Source organism: Homo sapiens, chromosome 5 (genome assembly GCF_000001405.40).
Source record: "Homo sapiens chromosome 5, GRCh38.p14 Primary Assembly".
NCBI classification, from domain to species: domain Eukaryota; kingdom Metazoa; phylum Chordata; class Mammalia; order Primates; family Hominidae; genus Homo; species Homo sapiens.
This window is the reverse complement of record NC_000005.10, coordinates 95,669,991-95,694,606: the sequence shown is the minus strand read 5'-3', so window position 1 is coordinate 95,694,606 and position 24,616 is coordinate 95,669,991. Positions and strand designations below refer to the sequence as shown.

Sequence of the window (24,616 nt, the reverse complement as noted above, 5' to 3'; positions counted from 1 at the left end):
TAGTGAATTATGTCATGTCTGGGCTCCCTCCTGAAGAGGTATCATCATCAACTTGCTGGCAATGTTGGGTTTAAAAGAAAGGGTGGGATGCATCCTTTAGCATTTTTATTTTTAGCACTGTTGAATGAACATGATACTTTTCTTTTTTATAGTTATGTAGATTTACATAAAATGACCAGTTTTCTTTTTCCTTATGTTTCAACATTGTTGGTTTGACCAAGGAAATTTGCTTAAGTAGCTAGGTAATTAAGTAATATACTCTATGACCATAGCTGAAGGGATTAAAATACAAAATCTGTACTTTTAAGTCATGCTCTGCAGAGGTTACCATCTAAGTAGATAAATCTAAGACTTCTAACTAAAGATCATAACAATATATGAAGCTTATATGTACTTACATATATATACTTAAAATGTATGTAATACTTATTTATTTGCCTTTTTTTTGAGACTAGGTCTTGCTCTCTTTCCCAGGCTGGAGTGTAGTGGTGTGAGCATGGGTCACTGCAGCCTTGACCTCCTGGGCTCAAGTGTTCCTCCCACCTCAGCCTCCAGAGTAGCTAGGACTACAGGTGTGTGACGCTATACCAGGCTACTTTTTTATGTTTTGAAGAGATGGGGTCTCGCTGTGTTACCCAGGCTGGTCTCAGAATCCTGGGCTCAAGCAATCCTCCTGCCTTGGCCTCCCAAAGTTCTGGAATTTACAGGTGTGAACCACCTGGTCTGGACTTTGCTTTTCTTGAAATGCTTCAATTATAGTTTGCCTATTTCCAACATGGAAGATTCTATCAGGAGATACTCAGCTAGACAGTGATGACTACAGATTGTTAAGATCCAAAAAAGAGAAAGATGTCAATTTAAAATATATTTATAACAAAAAATTTTCTAAGGCGAAAATAAGACCTATTTTTTAATCAGGGGAATATTTAATATTATATATAGTTAACTTTTTCAAGTGTTGCAGAATGCAGGTATCAAACATTCATCTCAAAATGTGAGCAAGTTACTAATGAAAGAAATGGTTTTTCAAGGTTTTCTTTGTAGTTTTACAACATATGTGTGTACTTCTAACATATTGTTTAGTTTTAAATGTTTTTGAGCTTCATATAAATAAAATCTTGTGCCTTTTTTCTGTACCTTGCTTTTTCTCATTCAAAATTATTACATCCCTGAAATTTATTCATTATGTTGCATATAATTATAATTCATTCATTTTTATTGCTGTACAGCAGCTATTATGGATATATTATGCTTTATTTATTAATTCTACAGTTGATGAATATTTGGGTTGCTTACAATTTCTTAATATTTCAATTGTAGCAGTGAACATTCTCATATCTAGGTCTCCTGGTGCTGGTGGGGATATTTCTAGGTTTGGAAGCAGTGATCACAGCTATGGGAATCTTCAGTTGTACTTGATGATACTAATTGTTTTTTAAAGTAAGCATGCCAGTTTACATTCTCGCTATCAGTGCGTGAGCATTCCTGAGCTCTACATTGTTGCTAGCCCTTGATATAATACAAAAACAATGAAGAAAATGAAGAATGCAAGGAAAACTTGATGAAAATACAATTTGTGGAAGACTTTAACATTTCTTTTTCAGTAATATATTTAACAGGCAAAAATTAGTGGGCTATAAAAGAATTGAATAATACAGTCAATAAATTCAATGTATCGTATTCTTGCATTATTTGACTAGAGTAATATGTCTCCTTTGTATGATTTAGAACATTTGTGAAAAAAATTGGTATGTAGTTGGCTACAAAGAAAACCTTGAAATCAGAAAAAGTGGAGATTTTATAGACCATATTCTCTGATCTAAAAGTCAATCAAGTAGAAAGAAATAATAATATAATATTAAACCTTAATTACTGGGAAGTTATAAAATGTAATTAAGATAGTCCTTGGAGCAAAAAGAAATCAAAGGAAGCATTGAAAAGAACTCTTCTTTCAAAAATAAATGGGATATAGTGAAAGGCATATTTAGAGTACTTTCATTATTAAAGAAGAAAAACTAAAAGTAAGGAAACTTTGTACTTAACCTTAAATTCTTCCTGAGCATAGATTAAAGAAAAAGGAAAAAATATACAAGATTAGAAATAATATAGATCCAGAAGACTAAAAATTAAATGCAGTTCTGTGGCAACATATTTGAAATTTTTGCATGAGTATTTCTTAGTAAGACATAAATCACCAAAACCGGTCCCCAAATAAGAAAATTTTAATGTACAAATTGCCACATGTGAAAATTTGAAACTTGGTGATACTAGCTTCTAAAAAGATATCAGGACCAAATATTTCTACAGCTGAGTTCTAACTAGCTTTTTAAAAAAATATGTAAATTATGCCTCGTTTTTAAGAAAGAAAAAGAAATTTGAAATATTCTGATGTTATTATTTCAGGCACCACTGAAAGATGCAAACCTTTTCAATTCATATTCACAAAAATTTAATACCAATCTGTTAAGTACAAAAAAAAGCCATAGACCAATCTCACTTATGAATATAGTGGCAAAAATTATAAATGAAATCTAGCAAGATATCAAATACAAATGTAATCAAATACAAATTCTTTTTTCCAAAAATGTAAAGACAGTTTAAATATCAGGAAAGCCAATACATACTTTGCTATGTCAACAAATTGAGGGGCAAAAGCGATCATATTCATAGATTATGAAATGGAAGTTGATAAAATTCGATAATCAATCCCAGCAGAAACAAACAAAACCAAAATTGGCATAGAAAGAAACTAAATATGATAAAGATTATTTAGAATAATGTTTGGTGTTGGCTTCAGTAAACAGTATAATATTGAAGCCATTTTAATTGAAAACAGGAACAACATAGGTGATCCTGCTGTAATAATTATTCAGAACTGTTTTAGAAGTTCTAGCAAACACAATAAAATAGGAGAATAAAATAATTGGCATTAACATGGAAAAAGAAGAGATAAAAATATCTTTTGTAACTCCTTGAAGATACTGAATTTGTAGAAAATCTGAGAAATTAGCAGAAAAACTGAGATTAGCATAAGGAAAAAAACACTACTACAAAGAATGAAAGAGTGAGAATCTTGCCTTAACAGAACGTAAAACATACTATTAAGCCACGGTAGTCAAATCAGTATTTTAATGACATAGAAGGAGACAAATAGATCCGTGAGACAGCATAGAAATCCTAGAAATAGTTCCCAACATATATGTGTGTATGTGTTTATATATAAACATATATGACAAAAGTGGTATTTCGTATCAATGAGAAAACAACAGTTTATTTAATCTGTGGTACTAAAACAATTGGATATTCAGATGGATGAAAGTAACAGCCTATTAAAAATAAAGTGTTAATGGAAGGAAATGTTGAAATAATAAATGAATTTTTTTTTTTTTTTGAGACGGAGTCTTGCTCTGTCGCCCAGGCTGGAGTGCAGTGGCACGATCTCGGCTCACTGCAAGCTCCCCCTCCCGGGTTCACGCCGTTCTCCTGCCTCAGCCTCCCAAGTAGCTGGTACTACAGGCGCCCGCCACCAGGCCCAGCTAATTTTTTGTATTTTTAGTAGAGATGGGGTTTCACCAATAAATGAATTTTTAAAGAAAAGAAACAGAAGAAAATTAGAGAGACTACATGTATAACTGAGGGCCTAGAAAAAAACTCCTTGAAAGGAAAATCAGAAGCTTTAAAAAGAAAAGACAGTTTTATTTGACTATATATAGATTAAAAAATAAACCAGAAATATTGTTTGTCTTTTAAAAATGTGTTTTTTAAAAGGTAATTTGCTTTTAATCTATAAAAGTATTGGCTTCACTATAGTTTGAGAAGCTCTTATTTAGGCTGTTCATCTATCTCCTATATTTCTGGGAAACTGGAAGATAAATCTAAAAGTTAGATCATACTGGAATTTTTTGGCTGGAATATATCATAGATGGTACATACTTCATATTGCATTACATTAGGAAACCCATAATATCTGTTTGTCCCATATTAGTGATGTCAATATTGACCACTAGATTAGCATGGTGATGGCCTGATTCTTCCATTGCAAAGCCCAAATCATCACAACTAAGACCAGTAGGAACCAGCTCAAGCTGGCCTGAGTTTCCTTTTAAAAGGACTCCATTAACCTTCAAAATTATTCTAACTTTTTGGCATAAGATCTCCCTGGCTCACCTTGTGCTTATCCTGCCCCAGACTTGGTATCACATATTTCTTTAGGAGTCCTGGTTCATTGTACTAACAAATGGTATTAAAGCCCAGAATTTAGATACCAGGGTGCTCTTTTCTACTGGGTTGGCCATGATTCTAGCCGTTTCAGCCTGTACATCTAGGAAAAATATATTCTTAAAAATCTTGAGTTTACGATGATATTTCCAATTCTGTTTAACATTACAGCATTTTACATTGTTCTTTGATCTTCTTTTTTTTAACTTTTATTTTAGCAGTTCATGTGTAGGTTTGCTATATAGGTAAACCCTTGTCATGGGGGTTTGGTGTACAGATTATTTCATTACCCAGGTATTAAGCATAGTACCCAATATTTTTTCTCATCCTCTCCCTCCTTCCAACTTTCACCCTCAAGAAAGCCCCAGTCTCGTTGTTCCCCTCTATGTGTCTATGTATTCTTGTTGCTTAGTGCCAACTTATAAGTGAGAACATGTAAAATTTGGTTTACTGTTCCTGCATTATTTTGCTTAGGATAATGGCCTTCAGCTCTATCCATGCTGCTGCAAAAAAACATTATCTCATTCTTTTTTATGGCTGCATAGTATTCCATGGTGGGTATATACCACATTTTCTTTATCTGGTACCTCATTGTGTTTTTGATTTGCATTTCTCTAGTTATTAGTGATGTTGAACATACTTTCATATGCTTGGTGGCTGCAAAAGTATGTCTTCTAATTGGGTCTTCTCTTACACTGAAATTTTTTATTCCTAACATTATTAACCCAATAATGTGTTTGTCCTGCACTATAAGAAAAATAATTTCAAATAACAAAACCAATATTAATACTAACAAGAAAATGACTGAATGAGACTTAGCATGTCTTTTTGGTTTATTGTCCTTGCAATGTCTTGTACTGTGTTTTAAATTCACTCCAAATAAATCCTTTCTAGGTGTTATTATATAACCAATTTGATATACAGCTTTAAAAAAATTTTAGGGATTCCTTTTTAAAAATAAGTATTTTGAAATTGTTTACATGTATATTCTTTTGATCTCTACTGCATTACATATCTACATTTACCTTACTCATGTATTTATCAATACTACCCTCATAAACCTGCTACACATTTATTTTCTAGTCTCAGAGATGTACAATAATAGACTGTCTGCAATTAATTATATACAATAATGGACTGTTTCCAATTAATATAGTCGGTATTATTTACCAGGAAACAGCAGAAAGGGAAATGTTCTTATTGTGTCTGTTTTCTGGTCTTATGGATCTCATATCGTGTTGTTGGGATGTGTCACATGAGCCAGTATTCACTATAACGGGTTACAGTTTTTAAAATGCAGTGTTTTGTGGAGAAAAAGTTTTCTTTCTATAATGTTTGATAAAACATGTGTGTCTATGTGTATTTATATGTGTGTCTTATGTGTCTTCGGTGCTTGCATTTACATATATGTTAGTTGACTCCATAATGAATTTTTTAATGATAAAATTTTTCAGCTTGGCTGAGATGTAACTAATAGATTTTATTATATTCATTCAGGAAGGTTTTTAAAATTATTATTTTTATATATTTAGGGAGTACTAGAGCAGTTTTGTTATATGGATATGTTGTGAAGTGGTGAAGGTTAAGCTATGAGTGCAATCATTACCCAAATATTGTACATTGTACCCATTAGGTAATTTCTCATCCCTCACCCCCTTCTACCTTCTCACCTTTCTGAGTCTCCAGTGTCTATTATTCCACTCTATATGTCCATGTTTATGCATTATTTAGCTCCCACTTATAAGTGAGAACATGCAGTAATTTACTTTCTGCTTCTGAGTTATTTCACTTAACATAATGGCCTCCAGTTCCATCTACATTGCGTAAAATGCATGATTTCTGGCCAGGTGTGGTCATACCTGTAATCCAAGCATATTAGGAGACCAAGGTGGGAGGACTGCTTGAGGTCAGGAGTTCAACACCAGCCTGGGCAACATAGCCAGACCCCATCTCTATAAAAATTTTAGAAAATTAGCCAGGCATGATGGCACATGCCTGTAGTTAGCTACTTAGGAGGCTAAGGTGGGAAGATCATTTGAAACCAGGAGTTTGGGGCTGCAGTGAGTTTTGATCACACCACTGCACCACTGCACCTCTTGCACTTTGTGAGAGAGAGATGCTGTCTCACAAAAAAGAGACAAGATTTCATTCTTTTTTATGGCTGAATAGTATTCTATGGTATATACACACCATATTTTCTTTATTCAATTACACATTCATGCACACTTAGGATGATGTTTTGCTATTGTAAAAAGTGCTGCAATGAATGTAAGAATGCAGGTATCTTTCTGATATAATAATTTCTTTTTCTTTGGGTGGACACATGGTAGTGGGATTGCCAGATCGAGTAGTAGTTCTATTTTTAGTTCTTTGCAAAATCTCCATACTGTTGTCCATAGAAGTTGTACTAATTTACATTACCACCAACCATATATAAATGTTCCATTTTCTCTGCATTCTCACCAACATCTGGAAAGATTTATTGAGTGCCTATCATGTAAAAGCACTGTCTAGGTATTGGGAATACACCCTCGAACAAAACAAAGATCCAGAACTCAGGGAACTTATAATCTGATAGGGGAAACAGACAACAAATAAATCTGGCCATTTTTGCTTCCTACCATCTAACCAACTCTCAGCAACTCCCAAACCTGGGTAACAATGCTAATGTTGCCGATTCTCTCCTCTATATAGCCTGTTACTTTACCATAACTATTTGAAGACATCCATTAGTCTTTCCCATTGCCTGCTCCTTATTAATGGTACCCAACTGGAATTGTAAAATATGGTAATTAAAGAATTTTTAAGAAGAATCAAAATGTTATCAATATATCTGTTTTGAAACATATTTGTGAGCTATGTAGCAGGCATTTATTTTTGCTATTAAAATGATTATTTGCCTTACAGGAGAATTTTATTTAGGGCTATTTTTAAAGAATACACTCCCCTAATACATTTTAAATGATTCAACTTACAAATTTCCTATTTACACACAAAAGGCTTCAAATTCTTATTAGAATGAGAAGGTCTAAACATTTTCTCTTGTGACCCAGGATTTCCCAAGCTTGGCCAACCTATGATTGAAAGTGGGATCACAAGAATAATGATAACCTGGATTTCACTGGTTTTGCCCCATCTGCAAAACTTCAAGTCTCTACAAAGGCCTGAATCTGCTGTCTCCTAAGTATTTTTGGGAATTCCCATGGGGTGTCTAATTATCAGGAACAAATCTGGTAAGCAGCCTGGCAAGTGGCATCTGCTTGGCCCTTTTAATTATTTCTATGAATACCTTCATGTTTCCTTTGGGATCTGCTTTGGTTTTGGCTATTTTCTGGACACAATAGGTACCACTACTGATGTAGCAACACTTTCAAAGAGCCAGAGATCTTTGGCAAAGTCCGAGAGAATGCCTCTTTTCCCTTTTTTGTTTTGCTGTCCGTGAAAGGAATACCCTAGCTGTATAGCTAACTTGTGTCCACTGCCTTAGAAAGTTTAGGAAGACTACTTAAGGCTTATCTTTTCCTCCCATCTACTCCTAATCCCTGTGGAATGTGAGATCAAGGATAGCTCTGAGGGACATACCCCAGGCTGTGCTCAGAATCACATCTCTCCTCTGATTATTAAGGCATTGCTACCAGATTGGATTTTTCAGAGTGGGATGCCTCACTGAATCTGAGTTACCCCCCCAGGAGGGTCCTGCAGTCTCATGCATGTAGGATTTCATCAGGTTGCCCCATCAGTTCTCCAACATCAGGACCTGTTTGAGTCTTCAATAGTAGATGTTGAGACTTCTTCTGCACGCTCGATTGATTTATATAAAACTTTTCACTAGTCTCTAAGCAAGGTGATACACAATCATACTTTCAATTCATGTCATAAACTTGTTATTTAATTAATTAGACGTAAGTGAACAATCCTATGGAAATAATATTTCCTAGTTTTTTTTTTAACTTGGAGGTTTTGGGGGCTTTTTACTACTAGATTCCTTTCTAAGTCTCATTTGTGTACATATAATTTTGGATGGTTATAAACTATATTGTTTTACATAATTTTTTGTAAATTAGTTTTACCTACATAGTTAAATATAGAATCCACATCTTACAAACGTAATGAACAGAAACTTTTCCATAGTCTTGAGGTAGCAACCATTTAATGAATGTTGGGTATCTGAATTATTTCCATTCTATACTATTCAGAATAGCCCTGCATATATCATATAATGACACAACTATCATTATAAAAACTACTATTGACTGGGCACGGTGGCTCACGTCTGTAATACCAGCACTTTGGGAGGCTGAAGTGGGTGGATCACCTGAGAGAGATCAGGAGTTCAAGAACAGCCTGGCCAACATGGTTACCTGCCTCTACTAAAAATACAAAAATTAGCCGGGCGTGGTCGCGGGTGCCTGTAGTCCCAGCTACTCAGCAGGCTGAGGCAGGAGAATCGCTTGAACCCGGGAGGCAAAGGTTGCAGTGAGCCGAGATCGCGCCACTGCATTTCAGCTTGGGTGAGAGAGTGAGACTCCATCTCAAAAGAAACAAACAAACAAACGAAAAAACTATCATTGAGGATTGACAATTGATATTGGTAATACCAATGTATTTGTATTGATACTTTTAGATTGTGTTCAAAACATTCCTAATTCATAGGATTGTTAAGTGAATTAAAAAAGATAAATGATGTTAACTTAGCCCCTAGCACAGTTACTAGTACTTAGTTGGACTTTAATCTATATCAGTTCTCTTCCTCCAGATAATAAGTTTTAAAATTACTTTGACGTTTTTAAACATTTGCCACTCATTTAGATGTGCATAGTCACAAAGCACACTGTGAGCTGGAGGACATAGTACTGGGACCAACAGAACTGATCTGTTTATTGGGTTGACATCCAAAGGAGGTTACTTCGAGTCCAAATCCTTGATCTAAGGCCAACAACAATTCTTAAAGAAGTCTCACATGGCAGATAGGTTTTGAGGATTGGTAGGTAATACATGAAGTGAGGAGTATGACTTCATCTCTGTTGAATTTGAAGTAGGTTTGAGGGAAGGATCCAATTAGGAAGGTTGTTAGGGTTCTAGCCAGTTTGGTGCAAATCAAAATGCTGAAGCCCAGGTGAATCGGGCAAGCCCAGCATTGAGTTTTACCCAAGTTTTGCAAAATTTCCAAAACCAAAAGGTCAGTGCATATTTAATGAAACCTGCCACTTATTGGGTATTTAATGTTCATCAAGTATTGTTTCCTTTTTAAAAGGTAAGAGGCTTATAGAACTTATGTAATTTGCCCACGGCAAAGCCTGGTAAGTGATAGAATTGAAACTCAAACCCAGGTCTGACTGACCCCCAGATTTCTATATTTCTATCACTAAGTTTATACTGTCTATATGTGATTATGTAAAATGTTCATTTTCTTCAAAGCTGTGTGCAAAACAAAAGTTCTGTTCTTCTGTATTAAAGCCTTTTAAGTACAGATAAATCTGTACAGCTGTCATAAAAATTATTTGGAGATATTTTTAATTGTTTCCTAGTTTATTTTATAATTATGGGGTACTCTATTATGAACTCTAAAGAATAACATAATGAAGAATTAACAAGAAAAAAACAGACATTGTGGGTTCTTTTGTCTAAGTTTATTATCTGAAATAACATAAGATGCATAAGATTATTGGCATAAGAAGATAATTAAACACAAACCAAAATATTATAAGGTCATAATGTAAGTGCTGCAGGGTGAGATTTTCTTACTCCATCACCGTCTGTCATTTTTCACCACTCTACTTCTGGGGAGAGGGCTCTTAAGTAAGAAAAGACAAAAAGGACGTTGTTAGCAAACACAAAGAGTTGCTTATGCTTTAAGTGCAGTAAACATTAGCCTGAGAAATGCTTTTCCTCTAGATTTGTTAATTTTATAGGATGCCTAGGAGGGAGAGGACTGATGAAAAGAGAAGAAAATTGGGTAAAACCAGTTGGGCAATGACATTGGAATCAGTGGATAAAAAGAACTAGGGGATGGTGGAAGGGAGGAGAATGGAGAACAGGGAGGAAGACCAGAAAGAGAAGGATCTGCCAGGTGTTCATCTGCAGTGGACGCTGATGACCAACTATCTTGCTAGGACAGATAAAGTATTTCATTATCTCATAGACTCCCAGCGTGTGTATTCATCATTGTCTAGTATGATTTTCTTTGTACCGATGGATTGCACTTTCCAAATGTTAAGGGCATAGTTATCTTAACCATGAGAGTCATGAGAGGCAAGCAGGTTCTATTTTGGTTAGGAGAGGTGAATGTGGTATGGCGGAGGGTGTTCTAAGGCAGATTGTGGACTAAGAACACCATGAGAGCTGGGGATTTTCAGGCTTCCCATGCTAGAGGAATCCTGGGATGAAGATTTCTCTTTCCCAAACTGTTCCCATGAAGACACTTTCAGCAGCCGTGGCTTTATGCTTGCTGAAGAAAGTGGTCTAGCTGCAATTAAATATGAGGGCTTCAAATTAGAATGGGATTCAGGTTAACCAACTATTTCATTCACACTAAAATATAACTAGGCTGTCGGCCGGGCGTGGTGGCTCACATCTGTAATCCCAGCACTTTGGGAGGCCGAGGCAGGCGGATCATGAGGTCAGGAGATGGAGACCATCCTAGCTAACACGGTGAAACCCCGTCTCTACTAAAAATGCAAAAAGTTAGCCAGGCGTGGTGGTGGGTGTCTGTAGTCCCAGCTACTCGGGAGGCTGAGACAGGAGAATGGTGTGAACCCGGGAGGCTGAGGTTGCAGTGAGCCAAGATCGCGCCACTGCACTCCAGCCTGGGCAACAGGGCAAGACTCCATCTCAAAAAACAAACAAACAAACAAACTATATATATATAAAACTAGGCAGTCAATCAAGTCTGCATGGTATCAAGTTCTTCCCATATTTGATCGGGGGAACTAATGGTCATCTGACATGTGAGGGTACTAGGAGGGTAAAAGATGAAGAAAAGAGATTGAGATTATAAAGCAGAGAAACCAAAGACTTTACAGTTTTGCCCGAGTTTGACCTAGTGATCCTCATTGGTGAAGCAAAAACAATCTATTCAGAAGTCTTTCTGAATTCACTGCTGGTGTTTCTTTTCTATTTGGCATCATATATAAAGCATTTCTTTTAAAGCACATGCCATTTTTTTTCAAAGGGACCTTTTGTTCTCAGATGATCCATTATTTGTGGTATCACTGCAGAATTTGGGACAAATTTCAACTTATATCATAGAACTCCTTAGTGTACTTTATTATTCAATCCCCTCACTCCTTCCCTTATGCCTCCAAACACACTCCTCTTCCTCTCACTGCCAGAGTGATGTCAGAAGATTCTGTAGCAGGTTCTCGGAAGCCTATTGTACAGTAACAAAGAATTCCAGCAGTGAGCTGTGAGTTCTGTCCTTGCTGGCTTTCCCAAGTGGAAGGCTACCCTCATCTTTCACTAATGGCAGACTAGGACAAGCATTACCCAGGCCTGCAAGCTTGTTAAGGACTAGGAACCCAAGCAAGAACTCACCATGCCAATCAAACCTGTTGGGTGGATATGTGGGCAGGTGTTGAAGAACTTTTCTGGAAGAAGTATACACAATCTTGTTGTAAAGGGCGTATGGGTGTGGGAACAATTGGGAATAAGATCCCCTAGAGTTCCTTTACTTTCCGAGTCATCTAGGAATTTGATCAAGTGTTTCATGTTCTTTTGAAACATTTAGGGGATGTTTTCAAAGTTTTCTTTTTCCTAACCTCTTTTTGTCTTAGTCGAGGGGATCCAGAAAGCAATCATGGACCTTGTAGATGAGTTTAAAGATGAATTTCCCACCATCCTAAGATTATCACAGTCTAATCAGGTAATGTGATTTTATAACCTTTAAAAGGAATAGAAAAAATATATTCTATTTTTAGTATCATACCCATTATTTAATGCTTGATTTTGAGATCAGTGATCAAAACTTTAGAAAACACTAATTTTGCCTCAGAAAAACAAATTTCAAATATTACTCATTAAGAGGGGTCTTTGGGAAGCAGAGAGATTGTGGACCAAGAAGTGAGGTAGATTGAGAATTAAGTTTAAAGACATTAACTATGTCATTAGGGTAAACACCTGGCAGTCTCTCAACACTACAATTGCAATGTAAAATCAGAAAAATACCTAGATACACTTTAGCAAAAATCTATGTCAAATCAGTGCAAAACCTTGAGATAAATTGTAACAATGGAAAGATAAATACAACATGGATGTGTGTTTAATAAGGAAAGAAAACAGTAGTATCAATTTAAATAAGGTATACATGTATATTTTTTAAACCTCTGTTCCAAAAAGGATTTGAAACAGATAAAATATTGGGAGTGAAAGAGGAGGGAGGTATATATTTTGAAGAGACATAAAGTCAGGAAAAAGTAACAACTTGTTTAGGGAACACATGTAACCTAATTTACTCAAAGGCACACAGCTCTTAATGGAAAAATGTGGTTCGGTCATTTTGATCATAGTTGGAATAGAATATGCTGTGAAGGTACATGGTACAGGAACAATCCACTTATCCAGAAGTCAGACTCTTGACAATGTCAAACATGAGGTATATAACCAAAACCTGGCAGTTAACAAAAAGCACTCTGATTAACACAGTAATCACAAAGTATACATATTTCATTCCAAAGGAGGGATATTAGAGCTAACTTTAACCACGCCTGCAGACAACCAGCCATCAGACATTTAGTAAACACCTCACTATTGCTTGGGACTGGAGAGAGGAAATACAGAGATAAACACGACGTGATCCTTTCCGCTAATGAGCTTAATCTAATGGAGATAGAGTTGTAAAGGAGTAATTGCATTAGAATATGGTCAGTGTTACATCTCTGTATGTAATTTAGAGGAGTGAATGACTCTACTGAGGAAGGTCAAAGAAGGCTTCATGGAGGAAGCATGCTTTTAAGTTGGGTCCCAATGGATGAATAGTAGTTTTCAAGGTAAAGAAAAGGGTGGGATCAGTGGGTAGGGGCAGGGAAGCATATTCCACTGGCAGTGGGGGTTAGGCCAAAAAGTAGGAAACAGCATAGCATGTTTCCAAAATGTCAAATAAATATAAATTACAGGCATGTAGGATAGAAGGGTTGAGATAGGAAATAGTAGAAAACGGGGTGGAGGTCTTTGTATGCCATGTGAAAAAGACTGGACTTTCCCTTATAGGTAACACAGATATCAGCCACAGAAAGGTTTTGGGCTTGGAAATGACATTCAGTTTGCACAACAAAAATACTTTTTTAGTGGTAATGAGATCCGAATGGAGGCAGAGCTTCTAGGAAGATTTTGTTGCAAATGACAGCTAAGAACAAGGACATTAACATTGGAAATAGAATGGGTTGAGCACAAGAGATATTTAGCATACTTTGAAACTGACAGTGTGGGATGAGAGATAATGTGTAAAGGTTGAGGAAGATTCTGGATTTCGTGGGTGGCTAGAAGAATAGTGATCCCGTTAACTAGGACCAAAGACAAGATGAGGAAGAGCAGCTTTGGAGATAATGAGTTTGATTGGATCACAGTTTAAGGGGTCATGCCACATCCTGTCCAAGCCTTGGAGTTGAGTTATAAATTGCATATGTAGGTTGGAAGCTCAAGAGAAGCCCGGCTGAAGATGTATATTTGGGAATCATCAGTGTATAGTGTGTTGTTATAGTGTATAGTTAAACCATGTCTTTAACTAACTGTAGTGTACATTTAAACCAAAATGGCAATCATCACTGCTCAAGAAGATTGTGTAGTAATATTAGGGCATAGGATAGAACCCCCGACAATGCCATTGTTTAAAGGGTTAGCAGGGCATCAGAGAAAAGAAGAGAATGAAGAGAATGAAATTCTATGAAAGCCATTGAAGTGGAGAGAAAAAGGAGAGAGGAATTAGCAGCAGTCAGAATCCTCAAAGATGTCAAGTATGGGATACATTTTTTAAAGTTATTTTGCATGTCAGTAAAAATTTAGCCAACACTAAGTGGAAAAAATTTTAGTTACCCAGAAAATTTACTTACGTGGAACCCCTCATTCACCAATAATGGTTGCTGTGACTTAAACTCTTATTTAGCAAAAATAATGTTCTGTTCTGAATAGAAGGTAATTGTTATATATGCAGTTGATTCAAATTACTGAGCCTATACATTTCTAAAAATACGTTAACTGGGCCAGGCGCGGTGGCTCAGGCCTGTAATCCCAGCACTTTGGGAGGCCGAGGCAGGCGGATCACAAGGTCAGGAGATGGAGACCATCCTGGCTAACACGGTGAAACCCCGTCTCTACTAAAAATACAAAAAAATTAGCCAGGCAATGTGGCGGGCGCCTGTAGTCCCAGCTCCTCGGGAGGCTGAGGCAGGAGAATGGCGTGAACCTGGTAGGCGGAGGTTGCAGTGAGCCGAGATCGCGCCACTGCACGCCAGCCTGGGCGACAGAGCGAGATTCCGTCTCAAAAAAACAAACAAACAAAAAGTTAACTGATATGCATTCTTGTTTACCATTGAATCGGATGAGTTTTAACTGTCAGGACCTACTGAACTCCCTTAGCTATAGTAGAGTTCTGGGACTTGTAGAATGGACTCCTAGATGGTATAATAGAAGACAATACTGATTTAGCCTGTAAGATAATAGCCCTGGGGGAAGTGGACATTCCCAGTATCAGTCATCATAGGAAGAGGCGGTCATATTGGATACAGGACACCAGAACTTGGAAGGTTGGCCTTAGTGTCAGGGGAAGCAACTGCTTTCTGCCTTTGGCCGGCCCTCTCTTGGGTCTAGTGTTTGAGGAGGGGTGATACTAAAGTGTAGGAATCTGCAGGCACAGTAGTAACATGGCATCCAAGTGCTGGTCAGATCAGCTAAGCATGAGAGGTAAGGCTTAAGAGTTTCTGAGGGCAAACTGGGTTTTCTAATGCTGTATCTTAGCCTTGGCATCCAGTTGCTCCCCCTTTTTGCATTCCCCTAGCCTTGGTATAAAGTCTTTTGAAACACTGGAAACTATTTTGGCTATGCTCTGGAGTAGGAAGGAAAGAGATGGGCAGATGTACATGCCTGGTCAATGTCAAATAGCTCAGGCCAGCACAGTAGTAATTGTTTAGAAGGCTCAGGGTGAATCCTAGGAAGCCAGAGACAGGCATGGAAAACCTTGTTATCGTTTTCAAGTTTTGATTCTCCCACCATTGCTGAAATCAGAGAAACTGGGGTTTTATTTAATAAAAGAAATGGCAACTTCATTCATTCATTTCTACCTTCTGAATAGCCTCATTATCATTAGAACCATAAGCATGGTTTATGGTGACATCAGTTGAATATTGTGATCCCCAAAGATAAAGCTGTGAGTTCCTATTTCCAACTAATTGAAGTAATTTCCTGATAGAACTTTACCCAACTCAAATAGGAACATAATTAGTTACTTTATTTCTCATTTTCAAAACACTTAATATTGCTGTTTTCCCACTATTTCCTTTGAAGAATGTGTTGCTGAGATTGGCAAGAAACTTGAGTAGTTAGGGGATATTATCACATGTTTGAAGTTATTTACCCTTCAAATATAAATTATGTGGAAAACATTACTAATACTCCGTTGTTAAGCAGATTATTTTTAAAAGGTTAGATTGTAAGTGCGGCAAATTTTTTTTATTTCCAGGATGATCCATACTTCCCAAACAGTGAAAGGAATGGTCTTAAAAATTCTTAGAGGGCTTTATTAATTGGGTTGTATCTTAAAATTCTAAATTTTGTGATTAGTATTTAAATCTTCCTCCCCTCCCCCGCGCCACCCAGGCATGTATTTATTTACGAAAAGGCCATCTTGCTGGCCTAGAACAAAAAAAGATTTGATGGGAGTGACAATGGAATTTTTATAGAGGAATATACCTAGAATACAACCAGAATAATGATTACTAAATCGTTCTTCCTGGATAGATTTTGAAGGAAATCTTCTTTTTGAGGCTAGGAAAGTTACTTTTATTTTATTTTACTTATTTTTTTGAGATGGAGTCTCGCTCTGTCGCCCAGGATGAAGGACAATAGCGCAATCTCCACTCACTGCGACCTCTGCCTCCTGGGTTCAAGCTATTCTCCTGCCTGAGCCTCCCAAATAGCTGGGATTACAGGTGCCTGCCACCATGCTGGATTAATTTTTGTATTTTTAGTAGAGATGGGGTTTCACCAGGTTGGCCAGGCTGGTCTCAAACTCCTGACCCCAAGTGATCTGCCCGCCTTGGCCTCCCAAAGTGCTGGGATTACAGGTGTGAGCCATGGTGCCTGGCCAGAAAGTTAATTTTAGAATCTTGGCTTGAGATGATGGCTTCTGGGGTTCAGTTCTTTCCAACCCTTCTGTCCCAACCAGCCCAGATAATAGCCTTAGTATCTACTTCCTTAGTAAAGAGTAATTTTTAAAGGTTTACACTTGCAAATTTCAAAAGATTTCCATATGATGAATTTAAAGTAGTAAACCTTTAAATTATGTACTACAATTGGGTATCTAAAAAATTTTAATTTAGATGCTCATTCTTGGAATAAGAGAAAAATATTTTAGGATAAATACAGTCAATTTTTGTGAGTTTTTAAATATGAAAGATGAATATATCTTTTTTCTGTTATCTTGTACTTAACCATATATACTACAAAATAGAAGTTGTAGACAGGACATATGAGAATCCATGCCAAAAATTTTGGAGTTTTATGCCCTTAGATGTACTTTTCTGAATTCTCTATGCTTTTTTGTTGTTGTTGGTTATTGTTAATGTGTGAAAAAAAACTGCTAAGAAGGCACCAATGATGTTTGGAAATTACCTGTAATGGCATTTAGGTTTCTGAAAGTAATGAGACTATGACTGTCACTAGAATGCTAATTCAATTATATTTTTGTCTTTGGTGAGTTGTTTCTTGTGGAGAATTATCATTATTGTGAAAGTTATAGAACTGTGCACTGAAAACTTTCTGTGTGGTTTCTAATGTAATATTTGGTATTTTTTTGATGTTTCTCAAGATTAATTTGTTTTATTTTCTGATACTCTTCAATCATTCATTCTGACAAAGATAGAGTGCGTATTACATGCCAGACACTACTTTGGCTCTGGAGAAAAAGAAGCAAGCTAAATGGATATAAAACACTTACAATTTATACTCCAGTCAAGTAAAAAACAATGAACAAGGAAAATAAACAATATAGTACATTAGTGTAAGTGTTAAGGAGAAGAAAAACTATAGCAGAGAAGGGATGCAAAATCGAGGTGCAGAGATAGAGAGCACAACTGATGATTTTGGTAGAGTGACCAAGAAGGTCTTAGTGAGAAAGTGATTCTTGAATGAAGATGTGAAGGAAGTGAGGGAGTGAACTTTGGGATGCTTGAGGAATCAAATGGCATAGCTAGTGCAAAATCCCAGACACCTAAAAACTTCGACAAGTTTTTAGGGAAGGGAAGGAAAGAGAAAAAGATGAGGCTGAACAGGTGAAGAAAAGACAACCTTTGTAGGGCCTTGTGGACCACAGTATGTACTTTGGCTTTTACACTGAGAGCAACTGGAAGCCACTGAAGCAGTTGAATAGAAGGAAAATATGATCTGACATAAGTTTTGATTAGATCTCTCTGGCTGGTGTATTGATGAACAGAATGAAAATAGGCAAAGGTGGAAGCAGAGAAACCACTTAGGAGGCAAATTCACTAATCTGGAAAATAGATGATGGTAGAATTCAAATATAATAGACTGGGTGCTGTACTGGGGGTAATGAGAAGTGGTCAAATTCTGGGACAAGGTAGAGAAAGAATTTAGTAAGATTTTCTGACAGGCTAGTTTGACAGATATAGAAGAGTAAAGTTCAGCATTATAATTGCCTATGACAAAGAAATGGGCATGGCTGTAGCAAGAAGAAAATAAAAAAAGAAAAGCAAGATATATATTTAAAGAGTAGAGCTCAAATGGAGAAATCAGTTAAGAAGAATTCTTGTTTACTTAATAGCTCTTTAAAAATTCAGTGTGCATTTGGTACAGTGTACACTGCTCGGGTGATGGGTGCAGCAAAATCTAAGAAATTACCACAAAAGGACGTATTCATGTAATCAAATACCAGCTGTTCCCCAAAAACCTATTTAAATTAAAAAATAATTTTTTAAGTAAAAATTCAGTACACAAAATATGTAAATCTAGGAGGAAAATGAAACATTTGTATCTTTTGGCTGGTTACTTCAATTCTTGATATTTATCCCAGGGAAAAAAATATACATATATAAAGATTTAAAGTCCGGGTGTGGTGGCTCACACCTGTAATCCCAGTACTTTGGGAGGCTGAGGCAGGCAGATCACCTGAGATCAGGAGTTTGAGACCAGCCTGACCAGCATGGTGAAACTCGGTCTATACTAAAACTATAAAAATTAGATGGGCATGGTGGTGCTTGCGTGTATGCCCAGTTACTCGGGAGGCTGAGTCAGGAAAATTGCTTGAACCTGGGAGGCAGAGGTTGCAGTGAGCTGAGATCGTGCCATTGCACTCCAGCCTGGGCCACAAGAATGAAATTCCATAAAAAAAAAAAAAAAAAAAAAAGGTTTAAGTACATGGCAGGGAATTCAAGGGGTTTCATGGGGGGACAGAAATATTGGATGTTGAATATATGCATGACACCATGCACAATGTAGTTATATAGTAGTCAGTCTCTGCCGGAAGTAGTTTTAATAATGCACTGGAGATTACACATCAGTTACTTTTCAAAGGCCTATTTTTCAGAAAAGAGAACCTGCGCAGAAAACATCCAAAATCAGGATGGCTATTGCTTTAGCTAAGATTAATCGAGCAACATTAATTCGTGGATTAAACAGCATATCCAGATCCTCCAAATCAGTGGCCAAACTTCTGCATCCTCAGCTTGCATGCAGACTTTTAGAGCTAAGGGACATATCTGGTCGTCTGCTGAGGGAAGTTAATGCGCCGAGGCAACCCCTATATAACATTCAGGTAAGGGAATACTGCATATGCACAATTCCCCTTTTTTAAGAAACTTTTAAATTTGCAAAACTTGAAAAATAAAATGTGGTGAACTTGATTGTCCAGTGTAAAACAGATATACTTGGATAAGAGAAATGAATGGTTGGGGCTTTTTAAAATATAGTGCAACGTGGACTTTTTTCTACCTTATTGTTTAATTGAACTATATGAAACTGTCCATTTCAAATGGTGCAACTTAAATATATGCATGTAAATTACCATTTATGTTAAATCTAACAGAAATCTTACAACTAGCCTTAAAAATTATTGTGTTTTGTTCCTTTTTCCTCATAACTTTGTTATGTTTCCAAGGCAACCTTTGTTTGACATAATATATTGAGTATATTTACCTATAAATTCAAATTACGTTTTCTACATTCTTATTGAGGCTGTGTTATATTTTGTTGAGGACAACAACTCTTAAAACTTTTTTGGAATCAATTTCTTGCTTTCTAAACTTCGTGGCACAGAACTCAGAGTTTTTCAATTTGGGCATTATACAAAGCATCCTAAATGTCACTACAAAAGATTCAGAATTTTGCAATTCTGGCATCTAAACTGCAGGACAAATTAATTTGAACTCTTTGTTGAAGGAGAAGAAAATGGGGCTCCAATTGAGTTAAACCAAAAAAGAAGATGTATTAGCTCCCATAAACAACCCAGAGCTGTTGAGATTCCCGACATGGCTGGATACAGGTATTCAAACGATACCTTCCGGATCCTTTCTCGCTTTTGCTCAGTGTCTTGGTTCTGCTTTCTGTCTTGACTCCATTATTAGGCTGACTTTCCCCTCATAGTTGCAAGATAATTTGCAGCTGTTCCTTGGCTATAATCTTCCAGGTTCAATTCCAGCAGAAAAAAAAGAGGGAGAAAACCCCTGACCCCAACGGGAATGTCTCCAGGTTCATTCCAAGAGCATGGCTTGTGTTCTCAGTGCTTACCTCTAAACCAAGGACATGAGATGCACTGATTGGCCTAGAACTTGATTACCTGCTTATCCCTAGAGCTGGGGTTGGAGCTCTGTCCAGACCACATGACCTGAGAGTGGTGTGGAATGAGGGAATCCTCAAAAATCTGGGTTGCTTCAAGAAGGTAAGAAATGGATCCTGGATAGCTGAAATCAACAAATACCCTTTATGTTGGAGTCTCTCTTTAATGAAAGATTTTGACATTTCTAGAAATCATCATATATTTCAGCTACAAATTGCCTGAGAGCAGCATTCATAAAAGGCTCTTTTATAATTTCTGATGTCTGAGAAAGTAAAAAATGGTTTGTGTTTGCCAACCACTGGATTCTTTATGAACTACAAGCCTTAATCCTGTATCTTTAGATCACTGAAAATAAACATAGCTGTGGCTCATGCCTGTAATCCCAGCACTTTGGGAGGCTGAGGCGGGCGGATCCTTTGAGCTCAGGAGTTTGAGACCAGCCTGGCCAACATGGCGAAACCCTGTCTCCACTAAAAATACAATATTAGCCAGCATGGTGGTGTGCCTGTAATCCCAGCTACTCAGGAGGCTGAGGCAGGAGAATCACTTGAACTGGGAGGCAGAGGTTGTAGTGAGTCAAGATTGCACCACTGCACTTCAGCCTGGGCAACAGAGCAAGACTCTGTCTAAAAAAAAAAAGAAAAAAAGAAAAAGAAAAAAAAGGAAAATAAAAAGCAAAAAAGAAACAAAGCTAAACCATATTATCTTAAATCCCCACTGAAATATCTTTCTAAACCTAATGTTTTGACTTCATGTTTCTTTCCTTGCATTGTCAAACCTATAGTTTTTTATAGAGGGTTGGCAGAAGAAATGTCTTTTGAAGAATACTTCTGTATTTAATATGAAATAATCTTTAAAGACACAGGTCATTATGCTATTCAGGGTCTTCCTTTTTGCTTCTCTACTAAGTCAGAACTGTGAAGGATCTGAGATCTTACACTACCCACAAGCTAACAAATTAGCCTGCCACAATTGTACACATACATATGCACATGCACACACACACACACACACAAACACACACACAACGAGCCTTGGGTCACGAACACATGGTTTATTATTCACAGCAAAAGCATCAGCCAGAGCAGTATCTTGTGCTGGTTCCCTAAGCTTGAATTCCTTAGGGCAATGTGATGTGGGCCAAATGTTGCCTGTGCACACAGTACGTTGCATCACAGGAGAGAGGAACCTTGAAATCAGGAGACCCTGGGGACTTTTTATAGGGACACTGGCACATCTCCCTAGCCTCCTCTCCAAAAAGATATACAGATGGAGAGACAGAGAGAGGGAGAAAGAGAGAGAGATTAATTATTCATTACCCTGGAATATAAGTACATGTTTCAGGGAAAAAGGAGAGGGCTTTATTTTTAATGGCCTATGACATGTTCAGGGAGGTACATGTCTCTCTAGAAGGATATACTTTTTCTACTTTGCAAGGCTGTTTGCTATTCAAACATGTCCTTTGCTCAGAAGGGCCAATCTGCACAGGAATGAGAGAAATCCATGGAGACTTATCTCCCAACACTCATGAAAATTCAGTGGCAAGAAAAAAATCTGTCTTTCCAGTTGAATTTGTGTGTTTTTATCCAGTAATGAGAACTAAGAGACATAATCTGTTTGCCTTTTTACTTTGACTGATAATGAGTTTCTGAGGTAAATTTAGAGATCAAGTGTGATAACTTATTCCAGGAACCTAAGAAAAACAGGCTTAGGGACTAAGTGACTTGTGTAAGGTCAGGATGTTAACTGTGACTATCTTTTCTGACATTAATTTAAAATCCATGACTATGAAATCTCTTCTTCTTTGCCCTTATTCTAATTATCTTATGTGATCTATATTGCATCTCACTTATAATTTTCTTATGTTATAATTTTAACTGAAACTTGAAAAGAAAAGAACTTCAGAGTTTTGTTTATTTAAAAAAAAAAAAAAAAACCTCTTTTGGCCTTGGTGGTGAAACTGTCCCTCTAGAGAAATTGTGCTTGTTGCTCCAGGGGTTCCAGCAACCTGAGACCAATCTTTATGTTTTTTTCAGCTTAGGATTTCCTGCATCACACTGATAGGGTAAATTCAGATCCCTTTATAAGGGGAAAGCCTGGAATTCTAATCTCTCATGGGAGTCCCACATGGAGACCAGCTTCCTTTTTTCCTGTTCTGGTGGATGCAATTGTTTGAGTCCCAGTTTCACTGAAATTGCAGTTCTGCAAAGGCTTGATCCCCACCTCACATCTACCCAAGTCTCATATCCAGTCTCTGTATTAATACTCAAGCACCCAACCATTATTTTAGGGTCCAGTAACATCTCCAGAGTTCCTGGGATATAAGCTCACACACTTGCTGCTCTGGCTTTTAGTTCCCTTTTTGTTCGTGGCATTGGGGGTGGGGGGAAGGTCCCTTTCCTTTTTGTAAGCTCAATTTTGTATTACATCTTTTGAACTTCATTTTTATAGCATTTCTGGTTTTTTTTTACTTTTTTTAATTATACTTTAAGTTTTAGGGTACATGTACCCTAAAACATTTCTAGGTGTTTTTGTGTGAGATGCTCCACATTAGCTCAGTCTGCCATGTGTATGGAACCAGATGTTTTTCAGCTTTACTTCTTAATATCTTCCAAGTTTTAAGATGATTAAATTTATTGGAAGTGAAATATACTTCTACATTTTTATTTATTCAACAAATAGCGGCCAGGCGTGGTGGCTCATGCCTGTAATCCCAGCACTTTGGGAGGCTGAGGTGGTGGATCACCTGAGGTCAGAAGTTCAAGACCAGCCTGGCTAACATGGTGAAACCCTGTCTCTACTAAAAATACAAACATTAGCTGGGCGTGATGGCAGGCACCTGTAATCCCAGCTACTCAGGAGGCTGAGGCAGGAGAATCGCTTGAACCCTGGAGGCGAGGTTGCAGTGAGCCAAGATCGTGCCACTGCACTCCAGTCTGGGCAACAAGAGCGAAACTCCATCTCAAAAACAAAAAAAAAGTTATTGAAAACCTGATATGCAAAATCACTAGATTAGGTACCAGGGACTCAGAGATGTCTCACCCTTGCCCTATGGACTGTGGGGCTCACAGGCAAATAAGCAGTGTCAGTAGGATGTAGCAAGTGGATGATCAAAGTATGCAAAGTGCACTACAGAAACATCAAGAAGAGACATAGCATTCCAAAGAGTGGTCCATGTAGACATTCTAGAGATAGGATACTGTATCTGAGTCTTGGAGTAGGAATTAGCTAGATGAGAAGTAGGAGAATCATTCCAAGAAAAGAACAGTATATATGAAGATACTGAGGTGAGCGAGAACATGACTTATTTGGAGAACATAAGTAGTTCTGTATGGCTGGAGTGAGACAAGTGAGAACAGTCCCAGGTCAGAGGTTCCAGGGTCCTTGGGGGCTGGGGTTAGGAAGAAGCTTTACGTGGGGAGTATACAGTAGCTAGGGTTGATAATCAGAATTGCCAGTGAGGGAAAACTAAGTTGTAGTAAACAACGTCTCTCAAATCTCAAAGGCTCAGTGAGGACAGAAACAGAACTGACTATGAGGACAATGGCCTGGAGAGTCAAAGGTGCAACCGGAATGTATGAGATGTGGCAGAGGTCAATGGATTGGTCTGTAAATGGAGTGCATCCATGGTACCAGAGTGTGCTGAGAGCAAAGTACAGTAGTATGAGAAGCCGCATCAGACAGAGTTCAGCTTACCCAGAGTGGATTCCAGCATGAATTCCTTTAAGAATTGTCAAACTGCCTGTCTCAGATGGAGCTTTGTGTGGGGAAGTAAAAGGGGTGAAAGCTGGAAGGACCATGCAAGGGGATATGCTTTGTGGATGCATGAAAGATATCACTCTAGGAAAACTTAGCTGTAAGAAGGTAAGTGGCCTGGTTAACTTACCTGAAGGTGTCTTTCAAATATCTTCTGGATGTGTTCTGTCTGGTCACTGTTTTGTGGATGACAAATGATGAAAAAATGCATTTGTAGCTGGAGCACCTTAAATAGCTCTACCAAAACTCTCTATTATATGGCTGAGAATACCAGTGAGGCAGGTGACTTCCTTTGGAAACAAAGAAATAGAGGAACATTTTCATTAGGACACAAACAATAACTAGAATAGTGTTTCAGCTCTTCGACATGGGGAGCTCTGAAATGCAGCATCCATTAATGTTCTTCTCAAGGTGAAGAATGGACACTGGCTCAGGAGCTCCCTCTGCCATCCACCCGGGCCTTTCTGATTGGATGTTCAGCTCTAGAGCATGCTTAATATGTCATAGCGTATTGAAATGTTGTGCCAAATAGAAGCCTCCCAAAGACCCAACCGGCAGGAATGGCCTAAAGCGATTCTAATGGCCTGAGACATGTGCACAGATGGTTGGGGTCAAGCCTTTCCAGCTTGCCACCTTGTTAGAAGA

At 37.5% G+C, this 24,616-nt stretch overlaps 1 protein-coding gene and 1 long non-coding RNA gene across 17 annotated transcripts in view; one reads left to right on the top strand and one right to left on the bottom strand.

The window, feature by feature from the left end:
- Positions 1–24,616, top strand: part of SPATA9 (spermatogenesis associated 9) — a 79,922-nt gene that overhangs the window by 37,496 nt on the left and 17,810 nt on the right. For 3 of the 16 annotated variants that reach the window (NR_125327.2, XR_001742295.1, NM_031952.4), the window contains exons 1-3: positions 11,616–11,813; positions 11,991–12,079; positions 18,968–19,195. Coding sequence is in view for 8 of the 16 variants with exons in the window: in NM_031952.4 (NP_114158.2) it covers positions 11,753–11,813; positions 11,991–12,079; positions 18,968–19,195 (378 nt within the window). In the remaining 8 variants the exon portion in view is untranslated. Of the gene's footprint in view, positions 1–7,271; positions 7,452–11,596; positions 11,814–11,990; positions 12,080–18,954; positions 19,196–19,818; positions 19,922–19,985; positions 20,585–23,720; positions 24,080–24,616 lie in introns of those variants that run through there. The other 13 variants (NR_125330.2, XM_011543666.2, XR_001742296.2 and 10 more) reach the window with 12 other exon arrangements.
- Positions 9,834–24,261, bottom strand: LOC105379090 (uncharacterized). Its single transcript, XR_948588.3, has 2 exons — positions 24,102–24,261; positions 9,834–10,012 (listed from the first exon to the last, which is right to left on the bottom strand). It is a non-coding gene; the product is annotated as an uncharacterized LOC105379090 (long non-coding RNA).